This window comes from Homo sapiens, chromosome 14, assembly GCF_000001405.40.
Source record: "Homo sapiens chromosome 14, GRCh38.p14 Primary Assembly".
NCBI classification, from domain to species: domain Eukaryota; kingdom Metazoa; phylum Chordata; class Mammalia; order Primates; family Hominidae; genus Homo; species Homo sapiens.
Window position 1 is genome coordinate 67167948 of NC_000014.9, and position 23045 is coordinate 67190992.

The following is a 23045-nucleotide window of genomic DNA, read 5'->3' on the forward strand; positions in this document are numbered from 1 at the left end:
GTACGACACACCTAGATTTCTTCTTGGAGTGATATAGTGGAATTCCTCAAATTCTTCTCATAACTTTAAAAGAATGTGGTATTTGTATTAGTCTGCTCAGGCTGCCATGACAGAATACCATAGACTGGGTAGCTGAAACAACAGAAATGTATTTTCTTACAGTTCTGGAAGCTGGAAGTCCAAAATCAAGGTGCCAGCAAGGTTGGCTTCTGGTGAGGCCTCTCTCCCTGGCTTGTAGACAGCAACCTTTTCACTGTGTCTTCACATGATCTTTCCTGTATGTGTGCAGACTCCTGGTGTCTCTTCCTCTTTTTATAAGGGCACCAGTCCTATTGGATTACGGCCACATCTTTATGACCTTATTTACCTTAATTACCTCCTTAAAGGCCCTATCTCCAAATATAGTCAATCATATTGGAGTTATAGCTTTATCATATGAATTCAATCCATAACAGTATTCATCTTCAGGTCCTTAAAACACTTCTTAAATCATTTGGTGTTTTTTTTTAATTTAAAGAAATATCCAGGTAGAGAAGATTATAAATAAGTTTCCTTATGCTTATCTATGTTTTCTCAGTTTGGGAACCAAGCTTGTAATACTATAGTAATTTTTAAATGCTTAAAAAATAGCAAATAGATATATAAAACTTGTAAACGGCTTTAAAACAAGATTAGTAATGAGTAATCTTGATAATAAGATTAGTAATGGCTTTCAGCTGGCTCTCAGGAAAGCGGAAATAAATGGCGTTAAACAGCTTCTGGGCAGCAGAATTCTCCATTTTACTGAAAGACGCAAATGTTTACACCCCCTGTGGCATTTAGTTGACTATACCTCTGTTCTGGTTGGATTCAAGGTGATTCAGAAGAGGAAAAATAGTGCCTAGTCACTTCCGTCACATTCTGATACCCAAAGATATAGACAGACATAATTATTTGGCAAATTGTTACACAGTGTATTATAAATAACTGCTTGGTTGACTTTCAGGGAATCCTGTATCGGCTGTGGTCACCTGCAATCTCTTTGTTGTGCCTGCACTGAGGAAAATGCAGGGCATCTTGGATCCTCGGCCAACCATCATCAAAGCAAGGGTAATGCTTTCTAATGACCAGAAACCAAAATGGAAGCCTGGTAACAGTTAGGGATATGATTTCCTAACTGTCCAAAATAAACATCTAGAGTTTTCTATTAGTTTTGATGGAAAATGTGATTATATTCTCCCCCTGTGTACTAGAAAATGTAGGAGAAAGGGTCCCTTTAATTCTCCTACTTCATGACTTCTAAAGTGAATCATTTTCTCCAGATAGAAGTCCATATACGAGTCCAGAGAGCACGGCTTAAAAACTTGAGTGATACTTAAGGACAAAACAGTCAATAGGATATATCTGGCTCTACCCTAACACTAGACCTGTCTGGAACAAGGGAGAATTTTCTTTTCCCCATGCAAACTCAGAGGGACAGCAATTAACCTGCTCACTTTTTCTGTGACTTCAACGATAAATTTTAAACAATTCAGAAGAAGACAAAGGACTACAAAGAGACCCTGGTGATTCAGGGAAAGGGTAACCATATTGTTTAGAAGAGAACTGCTAAGGCTGAGAAATATACCATGGTAAAAGTCACCTGGAAATTAGGTCTCCTTCTCCACCAACACTAACTTCAATGTGATTTACTACTACTCAACTAATTATGTTATACACTTTCTCTGTGACTAATGAATAATGTTCTTAGCAGTATAAACTACAGTACCAAACCATTACTTTCCAAGTGTTCCGAAGTAAATTCAAATATGGCAGAATGCTATGATTAGTTGACAGGAAGAGCAAAAAACATAAAAGATAAAATATTAGGCCAGGCTCAATGGCTGGCGCCTGTAATGCCAGCACTTCGGGAGGCCGAGGCAGGTGGATCACCTGAGGTCAGGAGTTCAAGACCAGCCTGGCCAACGTGGTGAAACCCTGTCTCTACTAAAAATAGAAAAAATTAGCTGGGCGTGGTAGTGGGTGCCTGTAATCCCGGCTATTCAGGAGGCTGAGGCAGGAGAATCGCTTGAACCCGGGAGGCGGAGGTTGCAGTGAGCCGAGATTATGCCATTGCACTTCAGCCTGGGAAACAAGAGCAAAACTTCATCTCAAAATAAAAATAAAAAGATAAAATATTTTAAAAAATTACACTGAGAATACATAGGATAAAAACATTAAAAAAATCTAGGCTTTCAATAGTCTTAACATTGACTGTTTAAATGCTAAGAACTTTGTGGACTAGGATATGAAACAATCTCCTTTTCTTAAAATTTCATGAAAAATTTAACTAGAGTTTTTTTCATTAATCACAGTGGTAATCAAATTTGAAATTAAGTGGAAAAAGAAATAAAAACCATCCATGAACAAAAAGTATTCTGATCAAGTCAGAAGTCAGAGTCATAAAGCTTAGATTTAGACAGTCAAACCAATAGTACTGAATTTACTATCTTCATATTTACTAAATTAAGGAAATAAAAATTCACATTATTATAAGAGAGAGAGAAAGAAGGCTTCCCTTTGACTTTGCAGATCTCTTATGAATTCTTTCACTTATTTCTCATTGTAACATCCACCATCTCTTCTTTAAAACAGACATAGCAGCCATCTATTCTGACAACAAAGATGAGATGGTACTTTGTAATCAGACTGATGCTTGATATGTTGTTCCTGATGGTGTCCATTTCCTGTCAGCAAAGGATGTTAAGAAGTGGTCAAAAAATCAGTCAAATGCCTTTCTCCCACAGCAGTGTCACTGGGACTGCCAGTATGGGTCATCAGTATGCTTGGCTATTTGTTTCTTTTGTTTCTTAGCTTTCCAAATCATCCCCACATCAGTACTGACACAACTGCCACTTTAAAGCATAAACATATACTTCCTTGAAACGTGATAAGTCTTATCTCTCCTTTCTGACCATAAAAGATGCAGCTTACACACACCACTTATTACTGTTCTTCAGAATAGATGCCACAGTCATTGCCTTTACCAATGCTTGCTGCTTTCAGGAAGTGGGAGTCAGTGTTAAATGCTGCTGTTGGTAAATCATACTGTTGGACTCTGATGTGGCCATTCTGTGTGTCAGTGCAGAAAATGTCATCCTTGCTAGGCACAGTGGCACTCGCCTGTAATCCCTGCTCCTCAGGAGGCTCAGGCAGGAGGATTGCATGAGGCCAAGTGTTTGAGACCAGCCTGGGCAACATAGCAACACCCTGCCTCTAAAAAAATTAACAAAAAGAAAATGTAAAAAAAAAATGAAAATAAAATGTCATCCTTTCATATCAAAGCATTCAGAAGAGCATCATTTTAGAACAAACATTTCCCTTATTTCCTTGGTCACTTATGGTTGGAGGTGAAAATCTTCTCATTTTCAGTACACAATAAGAAACACTTCCAAAGCATCTGGTAAAGAAAAAAAAAAAGAAAAAGAAAAAGAAAGGAACACAATCCTAGCAATTCATCAAATAGAATTATTGACCCCGTGTTTCCATGCAAGGACCTTCTATCATGTGTTTCCTTAATATCCCATTAAAGCACTCTACCACCCTTGTTCTCAGCTTTTTTCGCTAGAAACATACCTGGAGTAACTCCCATTAGTATTAACAACTTATCTCAAGCAGTGATTAAGAGACAGAAAAGGGGGAAAGCATGTTCTAGAGGATAGCCAACTATAAGTCCCTCATGCCCATCCCCCCCTCACAAACACAGCCAGAACAATGAATAAATAACTGCATTTTAATGAAAAAAAACTGAAGAAGAGCAGCAGAGTGTATCCGTGGAGTAACAGAAACCCTGGTGAGCACAGAAACTCAGGATGGTCACATCGAGAACAGAAGGAAACACCAGGCCTCCACCATCGCATCCCCCAGCTGGATCAGCTGGGAACCAGGAAGAACTCCCTTGGCAAGGAATTAAGCAGAGGATCCCAGCAACCCCCATCAACACTTTGGACACCTACAGACCTCACAATGGGAAACCCTGCAGCCCTCACAAGCATGAAGCCCAGCTGAAGGAACTGCCTGGAGTCCACAGAGCTATGCTCCCCCCAGTAAAGGAGTCAACGCTATGCTCCAACCTCTGTGGCCTGTGCAACTACTGCACTACACCATGTTGGAATTGGAACTATGGCTAGAGTTTTTCTTGCTCTGGGAGCAAGTAGTCACAGCACCCCTTCATCCCCAATGCTACCCCAACACTGTGGCCTAACATCCACAGGCTGAGATGCAAGCAGCTGTTACAACTTTCCCAGTGGAGCCAAATAGAGGTGGAGCTACTCCACCCAGCCCGCCGCCCGCCGCATCCCCCTCAGCCAGAGCTAAAGCCATATACGGCCTCCTAGGAAAACAGTATCTTGGCTGCTCAGAGCAGTCATGCATCCCTAAGTTCAGTCATGTACTAGCCTAAGTTGAGCCAGCACCCAGCATCCCAGGAAATGATGCTTTTGCTGCCCAAAGTAATCATGCACTCTAGTACCTAAGCTAAAGCAGCACCCTCTATCCCAGAGAAAAAGTGCCAGAGCCACCCAGAACAGCCATGTCCCCAGGGCCTGAGCTGAAGCAGCACATAGTCCCTAGGTGCCCTGGCTGAACTGAGCAGCTGGGCATCCAGAACTATGCCGATGTAGTACCCACAACCCAGGGAAACAGAGCAGTGGCTGAGCTGAGACACCTCATCCTACAGGTCAAACAACTTCCTACTCTCCTTTCCTGAAGCTAGACTACCCCCCTAGTGTCTGAGCAGCTGAGAAACACCTCTTCCTAGGAAGTGCAGTCATTGCTATGCTATTTATTGCCCCCACCCCAGGGCCCAAATGACAGCAGTGCTCCACCAGTCTGGATTACTTATTGCTGCTGCACCTGGCTGCACAAAGTCTGGGATTCTACCAAGCCCCACCAGCACAGGGTCTGCAGTCACTACTACATGCTGCCTCATCCCCTGGGACCTAGGTTGCCACTAAGCCCTATTGACTCAGGTTCCTAGATAGCAACAATAGCCTACTCCCCAGCCCCAAACGTCCAGGGGCAACCCTTCTTCTCTGGAGTCAGGCCAGAGCTGTGCCCTGCCCGCCAGGGGCAGAATCATAGCTACAACTCAGCCACCTGAACCCAAGCTGCTAAGGGGTACCCAAAGTCACAGACCCTGGCTCTGTGGACAACCTACACTCAAAACTACCACAGGAAAAAAACAAGCACCCCAAGACCCAGGTGCCACAATGGGTTCACAAGACCCTTAGCCTAGGACCCTGGCCCCACATCCACTCTAAGCACCTGTACCAGGAACCCGGTGCTGCAGTAGGCCTTCTTGAAGGCCATGTCAGATTTGACACAAAGAGGGATCTCCCTAGGCTATATCTTCCCATTGTGGAGAAAATAAGAATAAGGAAGACACTAAAAGCCCTTAACACTGAATATTAGCAAACTATGCCACCACCACCACCACTTCCACAAACTTCTGTGGACTACGTAACTGAGGCACCCACAGTTACTGCTCGCCCTGAAAGCACCTGAAGATGCTGCATGGAAACTATACCACTATACCTATTGAAAAAGTCACCACACCCTTCCCAGCTGGCACACTAAAACCCAACTGCAAATGAAAGACTTTTTCTATGGAAACCAGAAAGATTGGAAGAAAGAATAGTTCTACCAGGTGCACAGATTCATGCAGGCTTACAAGAAACACAAAAAAGCAAGCAAATATAACACCGCCAAAGGAACATAATGGGTCTCTAGTAACAGACCCAAATGAAAAGAAAATCAATGACCTGCTGGAAAATAAATGCAAAGTAATTATCTGAAGGAAATTCAATGAGATATAATAAAAAATATATACAGACAAGTCAACAGAATCAGGAAAACAATTTATGATATAAATGAGAAATTCAGCAGAGTTAGGAATCATAAAAAAAAACAGAAATCCTACAGTTGAAGAATTCAATAAATGAAATAAAAATGCAATAGAGAGCTTCAATAACAGACTTTGTCAGGCCGAAGACTTTCTGAACTTGAAGATAGGTCATTTGAAATTACCCACTCTGAAGGGGAAAAAAAGAAATAACAATGAAAAAGAATGAAGAAGGCCTGTAAGACTTACGAGCCATCATTAAGTCAACAAATTTTTTTATTATACTTTAACTTCTGGGGTACATGTGCACAACGTGCAGGTTTGTTACATAGGTATACATGTGCCATGTTGGTTTCCTGCACCCATCAACTCGTCATTTACATTGGGTATTTTTCCTAATGCTATTCCTCCCCCAGCCCCCCACCCCACAACCCCCCGACAGGCCCCAGTGTGTGATGTTCCCCTCCCTGTGTCCGTGTGTTCTCATTGTTCAACTCCCACTTATGAGTGAGAACACACGGTGTTTGGTTTTCTGTCCTTGTGCTAGTTTGCTGAGAATGATGGTTTCCAGCTTAATCCATGTCCATGCAAAGGACATGAACTCATCCATTTTTATGGCTGCATAGTATTCCATGGTGTATATGTGCCACATTTTCTTTATCCAGTCTATTATTGATGGACATTTGGGTTGGTTCCAAGTCTTTGCTGCTGTGAATAGTGTCGCGATAAACATACATGTGCATGTGTCTTTATAGTAGAATAATCTATAATCCTTTGGGTATATACCCAGTAATGGGATGGCTGGGTCAAATGGTATTTCTAGTTCTAGATCCTTGAGGAATCTCCACACTGTCTTCCACAATGGTTGAACTAATTTACACTCCCACCAACAGTGTAAAAGTGTTCCTATTTCTCCACATCCTCTCCAGCATCTGTTGTTTCCTGACTTTTTATGATCACCATTCTAACTGCCATGAGGTGATATCTCATTGTGGTTTTGATTTGCACTTCTCTAATGACCAGTCATGGTGAGCATTTTTTCATATGTCTATTGGCTGTAATAAATACCTTCTTTTGAGAAGTGTCTGTTCATATCCTTTGCCCACTTTTTGATGGGGTTGTTTTTTTCTTGGAAATTTGTTTAAGTTCTTTGTAGATTCTGGATATTAGCCCTTTGTCAGATGGGTAGATTGTAAAAAATTTTTTCCATTCTGTAGGTTGCTTGTTCACTCTGATGGTAGTTTCTTTTGCTGTGTAGAAGCTCTTTAGTTTAATTAGATCCCATTTGTCAATTTTGACTTTTGTTGCCATTGCTTTTGGTGTTTTAGTCATGAAGTCCTTGCCCATGCCTATGTCCTGAATGGTATTGTCTAGGTTTTCTTCTAGGGTTTTTCTGGTTTTAGGTCTAACATGTAAGTCTTTAATCCATCTTGAATTAATTTTTGTATAAGGTGTAAGGAAGGGATCCAGTTTCAGCTTTCTACTTATGGCTAGCCAGTTTTCCCAGCACCATTTAATAAATAGGGAATCCTTTCCCTGTTGCTTGTTTTTGTCAGGTTTGTCAAAGATCAGATGGTTGTAGATGTGTGGTATTATTTCTGAGGCCTCTGTTTTGTTCCATTGGTCTATATATCTGTTTTGGTACCAGTATCATGCTGTTTTGGTTACTATAGCATTGTAGTATAGTTTGCAGTCAGGTAGCGTGATGCCTCCAGCTTTGTTGTTTTTGCTTAGGATTGTCTTGGCACTGAGGGCTCTTTTTTGGTTCCATATGAACTTTAAAGTAGTTTTTTCCAATTTTGTGAAGAAAGTCAGTGGTAGCTTTATGGGGATAGCATTGAGTCTATAAATTACTTTGGGCAGTATGGCCATTTTCATGATATTGATTCTTCCTATCCATGAGCATGGAATGTTCTTCCATTTGTTTGTGTTCTCTTTTATTTGGTTGAGCAGTGGTTTATAGTTCTCTTTGAAGAGGTCCTTCACATCCCTTGTAAGTTGGATTCCTAGGTATTTTATTCTATTTGTATCAATTGTGAATGGGAGTTCACTCGTGATTTGGCTCTCTGTTTGTGTGTTATTGGTGTATACGAATGCTTGTGATTTTTGCACATTGATTTTGTATCCTGAGACTGCTGAAGTTGCTTATCAGCTTAAGGAGGTTTTGGGCTGAGACAGTGGGGTTTTCTAAATATACAATCATGTCATCTTCAAACAGAGACAATTTGACTTCCTCTTTTCCTATTTGAATACCCTTTATTGCTTTCTCTTGCCTGATTGCCCTGGCCAGAACTTCCAATACTATGTTGAATAGGAATGGTGAGAGAGGGCATCCTTGTCTTGCACCGGTTTTCAAAGGGAATGCTTCCAGTTTTTGCCCACTCAGTATGATATTGGCTGTGGGTTTGTCATAAATAGCTCCTATTATTTTGAGATACATTCCATCAATACCTAGTTTATTGAGAGTTTTTAGCATGAAGGGCTGTTGAGTTTTGTCGAAGGCCTTTTCTGCATGTATTGAGATAATCATGTGGTTTTTGTCGTTGGTTCTGTTTATGTGATGGATTACGTCTATTGATTTGCATATGTTGAACCAGCCTTGCATCCCAGGGATGAAGCCCACTTGATCGTGGTGGATAAGCTTTTAGATGTGCTGCTGGATTCGGCTTGCCAGTATTTTATTGAGGATTTTTGCATCAATGTTCATCAGGATATTGGCCTAAAATTCTCTTTTTTTGTTGTGTCTCTGCCAGGCTTTGGTATCAGGATGATGCTGGCCTCATAAAATGAGTTAGGGAGGATTACCTCTTTTTCTGTTCCTTGGAATAGTTTCAGAAGGAATGGTACCAGCTCCTCTTTGTACTTCTCATAGAATTCGGCTGTGAGTCCTTCTGGTCCTGGACTTTTTTTGGTTGGTAGGCTATTAATTATTGCCCCAATTTCAAAGTCTGTTACTGGTCTATTCAGAGATTCGACTTCTTCCTGGTTTAGTCTTGGGAGGGTGTATGTGTCCAGGAATTTATCCATTTCTTCTACATTTTCTAGTTTATTTGCATAGAGGTATTTATAGTATTCTCTGATGGTAGTTTGTATTTCTGTGGGATCAGTGGTGATATCCCCTTTATCATTTTTTATTGCATCTGTTTGATTCTTCTCTCTTTTCTTCTTTGTTAGTCTTGCTAAGAGTCTATCTATTTTGTTGACCTTTTCAAAAAACCAGCTCCTGGATTCACTGATTTTTTTGAAGGGTTTTTTGTGTCTCTATCTCCATCAGTTCTGCTCTGATCTTAGTTATTTCTTGCCTTCTTCTAGCTTTTGAATTTATTTCCTCTTACTCCTCTAGTTCTTTAAACTGTGATGTTAGGATGTCGATTTTAGATCTTTCCTGCTTTTTCTTGTGGGCATTTAGTGCTATAAATTTCCCTCTACACATTGCTTTAAACGTGTCCCAAAGATTCTGGTATGTCGTGTCTTTGTTCTCATTGGTTTCAAAGAACATCTTTATTTCTGCCTTCATTTCATTATTTACCCAGTAGTCATTCAGGAGCAGGTTGTTCAGTTTCCATGTAGTTGTGTGGTTTTGAGTAAGTTTCTTAATCCTGAGTTCTAATTTGATTGCACTGTGATCTGAGAGACAGTTTGTTGTGATTTCTGTTCTTTTGCATTTGCTGAGGAGTGTTTTACTTCCAATTATGTGGTCAATTTTAGAATCAGTGCGATGTGTTGCTGAGAAGAATGTACATTCTGTTGATTTGGGGTGGAGAGTTCTGTAGATGTCTATTAGGTCTGCTTGGTCCAAAGCTGAGTTCAAGTCCTGGATATCCTTGTTACTTTTCTGTCTTGTTGATCTGTCTAATATTGACAGTGGGGTGTTAAAGTCTCCCATTATTATTGTGTGGGAGTCTAAGTCTCTTTGTAGGTCTCTAAGAGCTTGCTTTATGAATCTGGGGGCTCCTGTATTGGGTGCATATATATTTAGGATAGTTAGCTCTTCTTGTTGAATTGATCCCTTTACCATTAAGTAATGGCCTTCTTTGTCTCTTTTGATCCTTGTTGGTTATCAGAGACTAGGATTGCAACCCCTGCTGTTTTTTGCTTTCCATTTGCTTGTTAGATCTTCCTCCAAATGTTTATTTTGAGCCTATTTGTGTCTTTGCATGTGAGATGGGTCTCCTGAATACAGCACACCGATGGGTCTTGACTGTCCAATTTGCCAGTCTGTATCTTTTAATTGGGGCATTTAGCCCATTTATATTTAAGGTTAATATTGTTATGTGTGAATTTGATCCTGTCATTATGATGCTAGCTGGTTATTTTGCCCATTAGTTGATGCAGTTTCCTCATAGCATCAATGATCTTTACAATTTGGCATATTTTTGCAGTGGCAGGTACCAATTATTCCTTTCCATGTTTAGTGCTTCCTTCAGGAGTTCTTGTAAGGCAGGCCTGGTGATGACAAGGCTCCCAGCATTTGCTTGTCTGTAAAGGATTTTATTTCTCCTTCATTTATGAAGCTTAGTTTGGCTGGATATGAAATTCTGGGTTGAAAATTCTTTTCTTTAAGAATGTTGATTATTGGCCCCCACTGTCTCCTGGCTTGTAGGGTTTCTGCTGAGAGATCCACTGTTATTTTGATGGGCTTCCCTTTGTGGGTAATCCGACCTTTCTCTCTGGCTGCCTTTAACATTTTTTCCTCCATTTCAACCTTGGTGAATCTGACGATTATGTGCCTTGGGGTTGCTCTTCTGGAGGAATATCCTTGTGGTGTTCTCTGTATTTCCTGAATTTGAATCAACAAATATTTTTATCATCAGAGTCCAGAAGAAGAAGAGAAGGGAAAGAGGATAGGAAATTTATTTAATGAAATACTAGCTGAAAAACTTCCCAAATCTGTTGAGAGATATAGACATCCAGATCCAGGAAGTTCAAAGGTCTCCAAATGTATTCAACCCAAAAGATCCTTCCCAATTTGTCAAAAGTTAAAGACAAAGAATTATAATAACAGCAAAAGAAAAGCATCAAGTCACATACAAGGAAGTCCACATTAGACTAGCAGTAGATTTATCTGCAGAAACCTTAAGGCCAGAAGGGAAGGGAATGATGTATGTAAAGTGCTGAAAGAAAAAAAAAATGCCAACCAGAAATACTATATGCAGCAAAGCTATCCTTCAGGAATGAGGGAGAAATAAAGCCTTTCCCAGACAGACAAAAGCTGAACTCCAGCTTCTTAGCCTTCTTTTCTCTTTTCACCAGAGCAACCCAACCCCTAGACTTCCTGTATTAAGAATATAAGGTGGCCAGGCATGGTGGCTCATGCCTATGATTCCAGCACTCTGGGAGGCCCAGGTGGCAGGATCGCTTGAGCCCAGGAGTTCAAGACCAGCCTGAGCAACATAGCAAGATGCCATCTCTAAAAATAAAAATAAAAATTATTCAGGTATGGTGGCACATGCATGTGGTCCCAGCTACTCAGGAGGCCAAGGCAGGAGGATCACTGGAGCCCAGGAGGTCAAGGCTGCAGTGAGCTATGATCATGCCACTGCACTCCAGCCTGGGTAACAGAGTGAGACCTTGTGTCAAAAGAAAAAATACATTTTTAATTAAATTTTATTTAAAAAGAAAAAGAACATAAGGTGGTAGTGACAGCAACGACAGAATACCAAGGTTAGTCTCCATGTCCACTGTATTCTTTGCACAACCCCTACTATCTTGTATTTTTGTGAGATGATCAGGTGACCAAGTTTGTTTTCTTTTCTACTTTATTCTGTAGTTATCATGTGATGTAAAACTTGATCCTCGTCCAGAATACCATCGGTGTATACTAACTTGGCATCACCAAGAACCACTACCTTGGGCACAGAGTACAGGTTAGTCATTCACATCTACAGATATTCCTAGACACCTATCCTGTTAAAACACAAACTTATATATAATCTTCCTTGGTTATGACTGATTTTGTAATTATTATACATTTTTCTTTTTGAAAAGTTAGATGAGTTAAGTTATTCCTAAACAGTATAGCAAAAGTTAAAAAATAACTATTAGAAGTTTACTTATTTTATTGAGCCATATTTTCTAGATAAACATTTAGAATGTCCACATATCATTGACTAATGTCCTGTAATAAATCTGGAATTACAGAAGATTTGATATGTTTGTTCAACCAATAAGTTCTGAGTATAACTTTGTAGGAAAAGGAGGAGATTCTAGCTATACCATCTTGAAATGTGAGATGAAAGCCCAATTTATAATTTGATTCTCTGTAGCCTCTACCATACGCTAGTTATTGGTAAATTTGAAGGGCAGAGAAATCAATATTGATAATGCAGAGTTCTACAGTAACCTTCACTAGACTTTAAACTGTTATTCCCAACTTCCCTACTCATATTTTGCCTAATTTTTGATGTGACTCCAGAAAAGTTGTAGTACTCTTTAAACAAAGATCCTACCAAGTGAAAACGTCAACTAACAGCGACTAAGTTCATGGGCTTTGCCATCAGAGAGAACTGCATTCAAACTGGCCACCAACCTACTTAGCAGGACCCTAGGCAAGTTACCTAAAAATTTTTTGAGTCTTGTGAGAATCAAATAAGGTGTTTAAGTAAAGTGCCTAGTACTTTGGCACTCAGTAAAGAAATGGTAGCTGCTACCATTATTGTCATTATTATTTTAATACTTTTTTTAAAGCCTCCCTTTTCAGACACGCATAACATTTCAGCCTGAATTGAGAAATTCTATGGCATTTTGCATAATGCTATAAAATCCTGGTTTTACTCTTTCAAGCAAGAATTTCTAATGTTTATTTTTAAAGTTTGAATGAGAAGGTGGTAGGATATAATAGCATGGCCACCTGAAAAAGGTACTGGAAAGTTTGATCATCCCTTCTCCTCTTGAAGACCCGCATTTCTGTCTGTTTACATTTTGAAAAGGTCTACAAGGGCCCAACTGTATACGCCATGATGCTTATGCTGCTGTAATAAGAGTATTTCTTTCTAGGTAATCAAATGAGCAGCCGTCTGATGAGCATGCGCAGTGCCAATGGATTGTTGATGCTACCTCCAAAGACAGAACAGTACGTGGAGCTCCACAAAGGCGAGGTGGTGGATGTCATGGTCATTGGACGGCTATGATGGTCACCAGCAGGAGAAAGCTTTGATGCATGTCCACATATCATTGACTGTATCCTGTAATATGCAACGGCACAGCTAGTTTTCCCGATTTGGATAAAAGTTGATCTGTATAGTCAACATCTTGAACTATATTTCAAATGAATTTAAATATCTTTTAAAGAAAAAAACACCTAAAAATAAATCTTAACAGAAAATTCTGTTCTGATTATATCAAGGCAAATTTTTCCTTTCTTGCAAATTGCTTTGTGTGTTCAATGCTAGGTCTGATAGCGATAGCTTTTAGTAGACAGCGGTAGGTGCCTGCAGAACTTGTGTTTTTCTCATCTTTAAAATACAACTACTTATGCTCTTAAATCAAGGCTGTCTGCTTATTTATACTAGCGTAGGCAACACTTGGATTTCCCTTCTTAGTATGCTTCATAACTGCTTTACAGAGAGCTTTTGCTTGTTCTTTCTCATGTATCTCGTGTTTATGTGCACAGTGCCAAAAGAAGACTGACTGGGTGGAGGCTCTGCCTTGCCTCAAGAACCATCCCCTGCAGAGCATCCAGGGAGGTTTCTCGCCCCAATAGCCTCACGGCACAGTACTCTTGGGCAGTAACTGGACACCTTTTATTTGAAGAAACAAACTGAAGAAAAAATGCTTCCTTAAGTGCTGACAGCCTTTTTAACCAATACATTTAAAATTGTACAGAACAAAAAAATAAAATCAAAGACTGATCTTGTACAGATATTAGTGTTACCAGCATTCATGTGGAAATCAAGAGCAAAGACAAAATAATGTTAAACAATTCTGTACCATAACATTTTCTGTAATGATACTGAAACTTAATGAATAAAAAAATTCCTTGATCATTATTTAAAAATGTAATGTGTTGGCCTCGTTATTTAAAGAGAGAAGATTGTCATGCCATTCTGATAGGGTTCTGCCTGAATAAAAGAAATGGTTAAGATGGCCTACCAAGAATATTTAAAATATGGTATATTGTAACTCTGTATCTTACTACAATATGTGGGGAAAAATGTGATCATAGCATTATGATCTGTAGTGTGTGAAAATACAGATGAGAAGGAAGGAGAACCTGCAGTTGGTCTCGTCTTTCCAGTCATAGCTGGAGAATAGCAAGCAAATTTAGAGGAAGGGTACTAATGACTTAGAAAAAAAATAATTCTTATTTTAGACGCCATAAAATCCAATTTCAAACATCTACAGTTCTTTGAAATGGAGAAAAAAATAAGCAATGAAACAAAAAATTACAGATGAGCGCCTCGAAATTTTTAACCGTGTTAGAAAGGAAGTGAGAAATGGCAAAAAATATCTGTGCTGACCATAGAAAACACAATAGGTAAAATATACTGTATCCACAATGGATCCTTTAATAAAAACTTAGGGGCACTTTTCAAATGGTGGTAACAGGAAGATGTTAAATATACTGTAAAATGTGCTCAGGAAAGCAAACTACAAAAATTGGCCTACTAGTAAACAAAATGTCAAGGGATGGTAAATAAAGGCAAAATAGTAAACAAATATTTGATACTGATATGTGATATTTTCATTCATATTTACAGTTGAAGAAGATAAGGTTAGTTAATAGAGGTCAAATGAAAGAGTATGCAAATAATCCTTTTATGTACATTCATTCAAGAAATATTTGTTAAGCATCTATTATGTGCTTGGGTACAAAGTATATCATGCTACTATTTACAAACATGAATAGGGCAGAGCACCTGACCTTACACTTCATTAGGGAGATAACAAAATGCAAGCAAATAACCACGATATTTAATATATTTGATAATATATAGTAGAGTGTATAGAATGTGATAAATGCCATAATACAGATTTTAAGGGTTGGAAGAATTCAGATGAGATTTCAAGGAGTAAGATGGCATGTTAGTGGGTCTTTTTTTTTTTTTTTTTTTGTAGAGGCACAGTCTTGCTCTACTGCTCAGGATAGAGTGCAGTAGCATGGTCCTAGTGCACTACAGCCTCGAACTCCTGGCCTCAAGTGATCCTCCTGCATCAGACTCCGAAAGTGCTGGAATTACAGTTGTGAGACACCATGCCCAGCTGATGCTATTGGGTCTTGAAGGAAGGTAGAATTTTGAAGATGATAGCACAGGAAAAAGAGTATTCCAAAAACAGAGAATGACAGGTAATTAATGATAATTATTTTATTATAGGATAATTTCTATACCTGTAATATAAGAAGAACAACAATTATAGGGGTGTCGTGGAAATTAAACATATGAAATGTGCTGAGAGCAGTGCTTGTCATGTATTAAGCTCCACAAAGGTAGAGATTTTTGTTTATTTTGTTCACTCCAGTTATCCCCAAATTCCTAGAAGAGTCTGGCATATGTGCATATATGCAAGCATCAGTAAATATTTGCTCAATAAAACACATTATGTAGAACTTACTGTAGGCCAGGCATTGTCCTAAACACTTTACATATGTTCAATTTTCACAACCCTATAAGCATTGTTTTTCCTGTATTATAGATGAGGATACTGAGGCACAGAGATTAAGAAACTTGTCCATGGTCACATAGATAGTAGGAGAGAGAGCAAGGATTCAAGTTTAGCAATCTGACTCTACAGTCTATATTCTTTTATTATTTTTATTTTTATTTTTATTTTTTGAGGTGGAGTCTTGCTCTTGTCACCCAGGCTGGAGTGCAGTGGCGCGATCTCAGCTCACTACAATCTCCACCTCCCGGGTTCAAGCAATTCTCCTGCCTCAGCCTCCCAAGTAGCTAGGATTACAGGCATGCACCGCCAGGCCCAGCTAATTTTTCTATTTTTAGTGTAGATGGGGTTTCACCATTTTGACCAGGCTGGTCTCAAACTCCTGACCTCAGGTGATCCGCTGGGATTACAGGCGTGAGCCACCGTGCCCCACATCTATTCTGTTTTTCTTTTCTTTTTTTTTTTAATAGGGTTTCACTCTGTCGCCCAGGCTGGAGTGCAGTGGCATGATCTCAACTCACTGCAGCCTTGACCTCCCTGGGCTCAAGTGATCCTTCCATCTCAGCCTCCTGAGTAGCTGGGACTACCCATCACACCTGGCTAATTTTTTTATATTTTGCAGAGACAGGCTGGTCTTGAACACCTGGGCTCAAGTGATCCGCCCATCTCAGCCTCCCACAGTGCTGGAGTTACAGGCATGAGCCACCACACTCAGCCTACAGTCTATCTTCTTTAAGTTACAGAAACAAAATAGGTATAAGATGTTTGTAAGACTGAAAAAGTACTGATTTAAGGCCCAAAAGTTATTAAAGTTATTAAAGTTAATTTGGTATTAAAGTTCTTAAATACCAAATTAAGAGTCTAGATTTATTCTAGAGACAATAAAACCATTAGAGATTCTTGATCAGGGACGTATCATGATCAGAGATATCCTTTTAGGGAAAACGCTTTGGCAGCCTTGAGGCAGATAAACTAGAATGGAAAGAAACAAGTGAGAGACACCAGTTAAGTTATAGCAATTGTGCAGGTGAGGGGGTAGAGGTGATGGTGATGGTGATGGGAACGTCCGAACAGATGGATACGTCTCTGGAGAGAAAAGAATGGAAAGAATTTTATGTCTGATTTCAAGTTTTGGAAAGAAAGTTATAGAAGGGAGAGATGATTCAAAGTCTCCCCTCTTGGCTGACTGAGAAAATGTTAAACGTTAATAAAAAGAAGGAAAAAAATGAGTTTTATGGAGGAGTTGAGTTTGGGCATGTGTTTGAGATGCCAGGAGTGCTAAGATAGACATGTCCCATTGGCATTTGAAAGTACAGGTTAGGGGTTCACAGAAGAGTTACTGACTGGATACAACTTTGGGAACCATTCACATAAAGGTGGCATCTGAAATGCAAGGGTGGATGGAAAAGATTATCAAGAAAAGTCTTGCCAAGAGAAGAGGACAGGCCTTGGGGTGTTGGAGGAAAAAGCCATGAATGGCATGAGGGGAAAAACAGTTTGTAGAAGAGAAGAGAAGGGAGTGCAGGGTCCCACAAATCAAGGAGGAGAGTCTCAAGAAGGATCAACTGTAAATGCAAAAGAAATACCAAGAAGGATGAAGGCTCAAAAAGCCTTATTGATAAGGCAATTATTTGTGAACTCTTAAGAGTGCAATTTTAGTAGTGGGTTAAGAGCAAAAGCCAGATTACAAAATAGAAACTGTGAACATGAATTCTTCAGAATTTGTGTGTGAAAAAAGAAAGACACAAAATAGTAGCATGAACTGATAACAAAGTAGAGGGAAGATTTGTTCGTGGGTTTTGAAAAAGAAACAACAGTGGTGGGCATGTTAACAATGCAAGAGTAGTATCCTAAAAGGAGAAAGAAGAGGAAAGAAGGGCTGGATTTAAGGACCCTGGTGGCCCAATGTGGCTGGGAAAGAAAAGGGGCATTTTTCCTTCTGAGTTAGAAAAGGGAGAAGATGTGAACACACTTTAAGTGAAAACAAGGAAAATGTCCTTTAAATGTTAAAGTTCAACAAAATATTTCTACTTGGCACGGTGGACATCAATTTCATCTAATCTATTTGCATTTATTTGACAAATTATATAAGAAGCATGTTACAAGTCTTTTTTGTCAGTAGTTGATACTTACATAAAAGGCTATAGAAGATGTTTTCAAGTTTTCATTTATAGCTGTGTAAAAAAGTTAAGCAGTTCCTTTTAACCAGATTTTTTGGTTCTATGTTTGGTTGTTTCAAATCATATCAGAATGAAAAAAATAACATAAGCAGGTGATGTTTATCAAGTAAATGTTTGGTGATGTTGCATGTTACAGCAGGTGGATTCTTTTGGATGGCTTTCATATTTAAAATTATTTGCTAATCAACAAAATTTTGTAGATCTAACCTGTTAGCAATTCTTGATCTTCATGAAACCCTAACAATGTAAGTAATTATCATTCCCAATTATAGAAAGTGGGGTAAGGGGTTATGTAAGTACAGAATTCAAAGTAAATAAACTGTATGTCTTGTATTCCAATGATGATGGGTCTACATTAAATAATGCATTGCATTCTGACATGTTTATAAGAAGCATTATGCTTGACTCTCTGTGTTATGTTGTTACAGAATTCATCAATAACTTGGCCTAGAACCAAAAAGTTAAAGACTTGCTCAATCCTGTCCATTTCGTATGGCCAGCTACCAGTATTTCTCCTGCAGTCTTTTGAAATAATTCATTTTATTTAACAAGCATTTCTTAAACTCCTACAGTATGCCAGGCTCCATGTTAGGCACCGAGAATACAATGATGAATGAGAGTCTCAGATATCTAAGTGAAGGAGAGAGATTATGAGAAAGGAAAACAATTTAAATGCAGGTTAGGAAAAGTATATGAAGAACATGCAGTGACGTGTTAGACAGTGACTGGGTGGAGGCCTAAATCAGATTCAGTGGTTGTGTCAGGATCCAGCCATTTAAAAAGAGGCAGAAATCACACTAAGTATTTCAACAGAGAGACTTCAATGCAGGAATATGTTAAATAGGTGTTGGAGGCCTAGAAAAAAAGCACAGAGGAAACACAGATATCAGAGACAACTAGAGGAAGCAACTACCACAACTAGGGCTGGGGAGTTGGGAGGGATAGGTTAGGGGAATCACAGCTTAGAAGCTCAGAGGTCAGACCCGATGGAGCCAGGACTCAGCCCTCTGACGAGAGGGCGCTGCCCAGTTGCTGATTCTGAGAATGTCAAAAACAAAAAACAACCAAAATGCAGGCTAGAACCAGTTGCTGTTGCCCAGGTGACACTGACAGAAACAGCAGGTCAACTAGAGGGAACACAAGTCTCTTCTTCCCTCCTATTTTCCAACCTCATCTGGTCTAATGCAACCTATTATTGAACCTAACAGCCAGCTGGAGAGAGAAATGTAGTTTGCAGAGCTCCAGCAATTCAATGCAGAGTATGCCGTGGTGCATTTGCAGCCGAGAGACAATCAATGACCAAGTGATTGAGAAACAGCTCTCTAAACAGGTGCGTCTGAGCTGGGTTCTGAAAAACGAAAATAAGCCCACATGTGAAGAGCTAGGAGATGAGCATTTCAGACAGGAAACGGCTTAAAGAATGCAACGTCAGGAAGGAGGCAGAAATATGATGAGGGAGTGGTGTAAGTGGTCTGAAATATAGTTGGAAAGAACTGAAGCCAGGATGGAGCCAGATCGTGCTCACAAATATACAGGCTCTTGAGGTTAATGCTAAGTATATACACACACCTTATGATACATGACACATATTCTAAAAGCATTAGGAAGGTACTGAAAATTTAAAAAATAAAAAAATCATTTACTAAACAGTTGAATACAAGGCACCATGCTAACCAAGGGTTCCTGCAAACAAGCACCTCATTCTTTCTGCCTCCTACACTTGTTCCTCTGCCTGTAGTTTATTTCCTAGTTAATGGCACCATCATTCACCCAGCTTCCCAAACCTCTGAGTCACCTTTTCCCTCCCTAAGCCCAGTGAGTCACCAAATTTTGTGGACTCTACTGATAGTTCCCAAGTTAACTCCCTCCTTTCCATTGACACTGCCACTGCCACTACCATGGCTTCTGCATCTCCAGAATTGCCCTTCCCAAATCTATCCTTCACTCTGCTCTCAGAATGATCAATTCAGAACATAAATCTCTCCATGTAACACTCTTTATTAGAGCTACTGGAGCAGATGAAGTCCCAGCACCTAGTTATGGCTTTCAAAGCCCTCCATCATCTAGGCTCTTCTTCCGTGAACTTCATTTTCTTTCAACCCTTCAACTTTATGTAACACCAGACCATTTGTAGTTACCCCTCAAACCCTGTCATTTTATGCCTCTGTGCCTTTGCTCAGACTGACTAATCTTTCAGGATTTAGCTTGGATATTAGCTCCTCCATGAAACCGTCCCTAAATCCTCCAATTGGACTAAGTACCCTTCATCTGTGCTCCTAGAATCCCCTGTCACCCCTCTATCTTATCACTACATAACACTGAAATAATCTGTTTACATGACCCCTTCTCCACTTGATGGTAAACTTCTTGAGTGCAGAGACTGTTCACCTTTGTGGTCCAGCATGGCATGGTGCCCAGGAAATAGTAAGTACTCATTACTGAGCTGACCAAAAGAATGTACCTTGCATTGCACTCACCAGGGACTGAATGTGGCAGGAAAGCTTCATATCCCAAGCTTAGGACATGCAGCTGAGAAGATCCCATGCAGGCGTGAATAGGCAGGCCCATCTCATGAGGGACAAAGAGGGCTAATTGCTCACGGACCTCACTTTGACAAAGTGCCACAAATTCAGACTTACAATCTCCAAATGAAGTTATACATACAGTTTTATATTTTGTGCATCTTTAAAAGCATTTTAAAGACGCTTTTGAAGGTAAATATTTTAAATATACCATTATTTTTATTTCCTTCTTTTGGTATTTCTTCTCTTTTTAATGTATCAGTAGCCTCAAAAAATGGACGTGAGATAATACCAAAGTTTAATCAAGGTACCGCAGAATTAAATTGATATCATCAACAGTTAAGAGATGAGATCAGATCTATGCAAAAATATTTTCTGGCCCTTGGGCAGGAAGAACAGGAACATGGCAAGTTGTGATCATGCAATAAGTATGCTCAATGAAGAAATCTTACTCAGTGGGACTATAGGTATGACCAGAGGAAGAATTTGTCCATCCAAAAGATGGCACTCAACATAGAATAGGCGAAACAGAGCATCTGAGACAATAACAGGGGAACCACTCGGACAAGTGCAGAAAGAGACTCAGCCAATCAAGTGCATTGAACCACCACCAGAGCCTAATATCATTAAATATTCATGCTATACAGCCCTCGGCTCAGTTTCTTTTCCTTCCTTCCTTCCTTCCTTCCTTCCTTCTTCCTTTCTTTTTCTTTTTCTTTCTTTCTTTCTTTTCTTTCTTTTTCTTTCTTTTTCTTTCTTTCAATAGAAATGGGGTATCACTGTGTTGCCCAGGTTGGTCTCAAACTCTTGGGCTCAAACAATCCTCCTGCCTTGCTCTTCCAAAGTGCTGGGATTGCAGGCATGAGCCACTGCGCCCGGCCTCAGCTCTGTTTCTAAGCAGTTTCCCTCTAAAAATGCTATATTCTTTTAACGCTTTTCTTCACAGAGGCTCAAAGTGCCTTAAATATGTTTAAGTCTCTGAAACTTGGGATATAGGGAAAGTGAATAATAAATTATCAATTGTATGATCAATGATGTAAAGTCTGATATTTTTCCCGTGGTTATACTATTGCTAAATTGACTTTTCTCTCCAAGAAATCCTCTGAAAACTTCACACCACCACCTGAATGCCCACTCCTGAGCGGTCCGGTCAGGGCTCCATGGGAATGCTGACCACACTTCCTCTCAGGGGCAGACCTGCACGGCTGCTCCTCCCCAGTGCCGTTCTTCTCTTACTGCAGAGACTATGTCAGCACGTTATGATTATGATGCAGCAGCAACAGAACAATGCCCAGAGCAGCCTGGCCTGTGCTTCTTTTACTAAGTGGTTAGTTGCCTGCTGAGTAGACATAAACACCTGCTAAAGAAATGTGAAAAGAGTGGAAACGTGCTATTTGGAGGTTATTTTCCTAGTCGACATCCAGGAGATCTCCAGAGATCTATTTCAGCCCCACCTGTTGGTAAGTGACTGTCTCATTACTGCAACTTGGGTTTGAAACTGAAGGAGAAGGAAATGAATAGTTCAATTAATTCTGGTAATTCGAGGGCAGAATGTCTATTTTTTTCCATCTTCCTCTTCTCCTTCTAGTTTCATTTCTTCTACCTCAACCAGAACAAGCTGAAAAGCCGAGAGACTTAACACCTGGTGACTGCTTTTCTTTTTCTTAGAAATAATTTCATTGAGAGTTTGAGTTTGAAATGAAAGCATGTTTTCTGGATTTTTTTTAATTTTTTTTTTTTTTTTTTTTTGAGACAGAGTCTCGCTTTGTCACCCAGGCTGGAGTGCAATGGCACGATCTTGGCTCACCACAACCTCTGCCTCCTGGGTTCAAGTGATTCTCCTGCCTCAGCCTCCCGAGTAGCTGGGATTACAAGTGTGTGCCATCACGCCCAGCTAATTTTGTATTTTTTTTTTAAGTAGAGACAGGGTTATAGGCATCGCCCATCATGCCCAGCTAATTTTTTTTTTTTTTTTTTTTGTATTTTTGTAGAGACAGGGTTTCACATGTTGGCCAGGCTGGTCTTTAACTCCTGACCTCAGGTGATCTACCTGCCTCAGCCTCCCAAAATGCTGGGATTACAGGCGTGAGCCACTGTGCCCAGCCTTTTGTTCTTTTCTTTTTTTTTTTTTTGAGACACAGTTTCACTCTGTTGCCCAGGCTGGAGTGCAGTGGCACGATCTCGACCCACTGCAACCTCCACCTCCCAGGTTCAAGCCATTCTCGTGCCTCAGCCTCCCAAGTAGCTGGGACTACAGGTACACACCACCATGCCTGGCTAATTTTTGTAATATTAGTAGAGACAGGGTTTCGCCATTTGGCCAGGCTGGTCTCGAACTCCTGACCTCAAGAGATCCACCTGCCTTGGCCTCCCAAAGTTCTGGGATTACAGGCGTGAGCCGTTGTGCCCGGCCTGTTTTGAAATTTTGATTTTTCAGACTGTTATCCCAATTTTTTCTTCCATAAGAAAAAATTCTCAAAGACTGAGAATTGAGTAAATTTTGGGGGAAACAGCCCTTTTTAATTACTCAAATATTTCAAAGATTCAGAACACAAGGCTTTCTCTTCAAAGCTGAAAGGTTGGGCATGGGGATATCATTTTCAAGAGATAGAAGCCACAACAGTTAGACTCCTGCAAAGGTGCAACCAGAACTGCAACCTAGAATTGTGCTGGACCTAGCCTAAAAATATGTTTATTAGTATAGTAAGAATCTTGGGAAAAATCACCCAGGTAAATGCCACACTTCAAAGTGCTGGGAATAATTAACCTCAAAGCTCCAAGGAGCACAGAGAACAGCTTTAATGAGTGACAGGTAAATGCTGTCATTTAAGAGCTATCATGTAGCCAGGTGCAGTGGCTCATGCCTGTAATCCCAGCACTTTG

The 23045-nt window shown here is 39.9% G+C and overlaps 2 protein-coding genes and 1 long non-coding RNA gene across 32 annotated transcripts in view, besides 2 other annotated features; 2 read left to right on the top strand and 1 right to left on the bottom strand.

The window, feature by feature from the left end:
* LOC105370538 (uncharacterized) overlaps nucleotides 1–21417 on the bottom strand; it is a 116677-nt gene extending 95260 nt beyond the window's left edge. For all 3 annotated transcript variants that reach the window (XR_007064215.1, XR_001750990.2, XR_007064216.1), the window contains exon 1: nucleotides 21286–21417. This is a non-coding gene — a long non-coding RNA (uncharacterized LOC105370538). The remainder of the gene's footprint in view (nucleotides 1–21285) is intronic.
* GPHN (gephyrin) overlaps nucleotides 1–23045 on the top strand; it is a 1227209-nt gene that overhangs the window by 659801 nt on the left and 544363 nt on the right. For 22 of the 23 annotated variants that reach the window (XM_011536340.4, XM_017020913.3, XM_011536343.4 and 19 more), the window contains 3 exons: nucleotides 986–1089; nucleotides 11631–11727; nucleotides 12857–13856. The exons of the other annotated variant lie outside the window; for it this stretch is intronic. In XM_011536340.4, coding sequence (XP_011534642.1) covers nucleotides 986–1089; nucleotides 11631–11727; nucleotides 12857–12990 — 335 coding nt within the window. In that variant the 3' untranslated portion in view covers nucleotides 12991–13856. Of the gene's footprint in view, nucleotides 1–985; nucleotides 1090–11630; nucleotides 11728–12856; nucleotides 13857–23045 lie in introns of those variants that run through there. 23 annotated transcript variants of the gene reach the window in all.
* Nucleotides 33–1232: an enhancer, noted in NCBI's record as "MED14-independent group 3 enhancer chr14:67634697-67635896 (GRCh37/hg19 assembly coordinates)". NCBI's record gives its function as "activates an origin of replication core promoter dependent on BRD2, BRD4, P300/CBP and CDK7 cofactors, and independent of MED14, by STARR-seq in HCT116 cells {active_cell/tissue: HCT116}" and the evidence as "EXISTENCE:reporter gene assay evidence [ECO:0000049][PMID:35650434]".
* Nucleotides 19285–19579: an enhancer, noted in NCBI's record as "tiled region #5377; HepG2 Activating non-DNase unmatched - State 8:EnhW, and K562 Activating DNase matched - State 9:DNaseU". NCBI's record gives its function as "activates a minimal TATA promoter and a strong SV40 promoter by Sharpr-MPRA in HepG2 and K562 cells {active_cell/tissue: HepG2 | K562}" and the evidence as "EXISTENCE:reporter gene assay evidence [ECO:0000049][PMID:27701403]".
* GARIN2 (golgi associated RAB2 interactor family member 2) overlaps nucleotides 21493–23045 on the top strand; it is a 39119-nt gene continuing 37566 nt past the window's right edge. For all 6 annotated transcript variants that reach the window (XM_047431033.1, NM_173526.4, XM_011536500.2 and 3 more), the window contains exon 1: nucleotides 21493–21622. The gene's annotated coding sequence lies outside the window, so the exon portion shown is untranslated. The remainder of the gene's footprint in view (nucleotides 21623–23045) is intronic.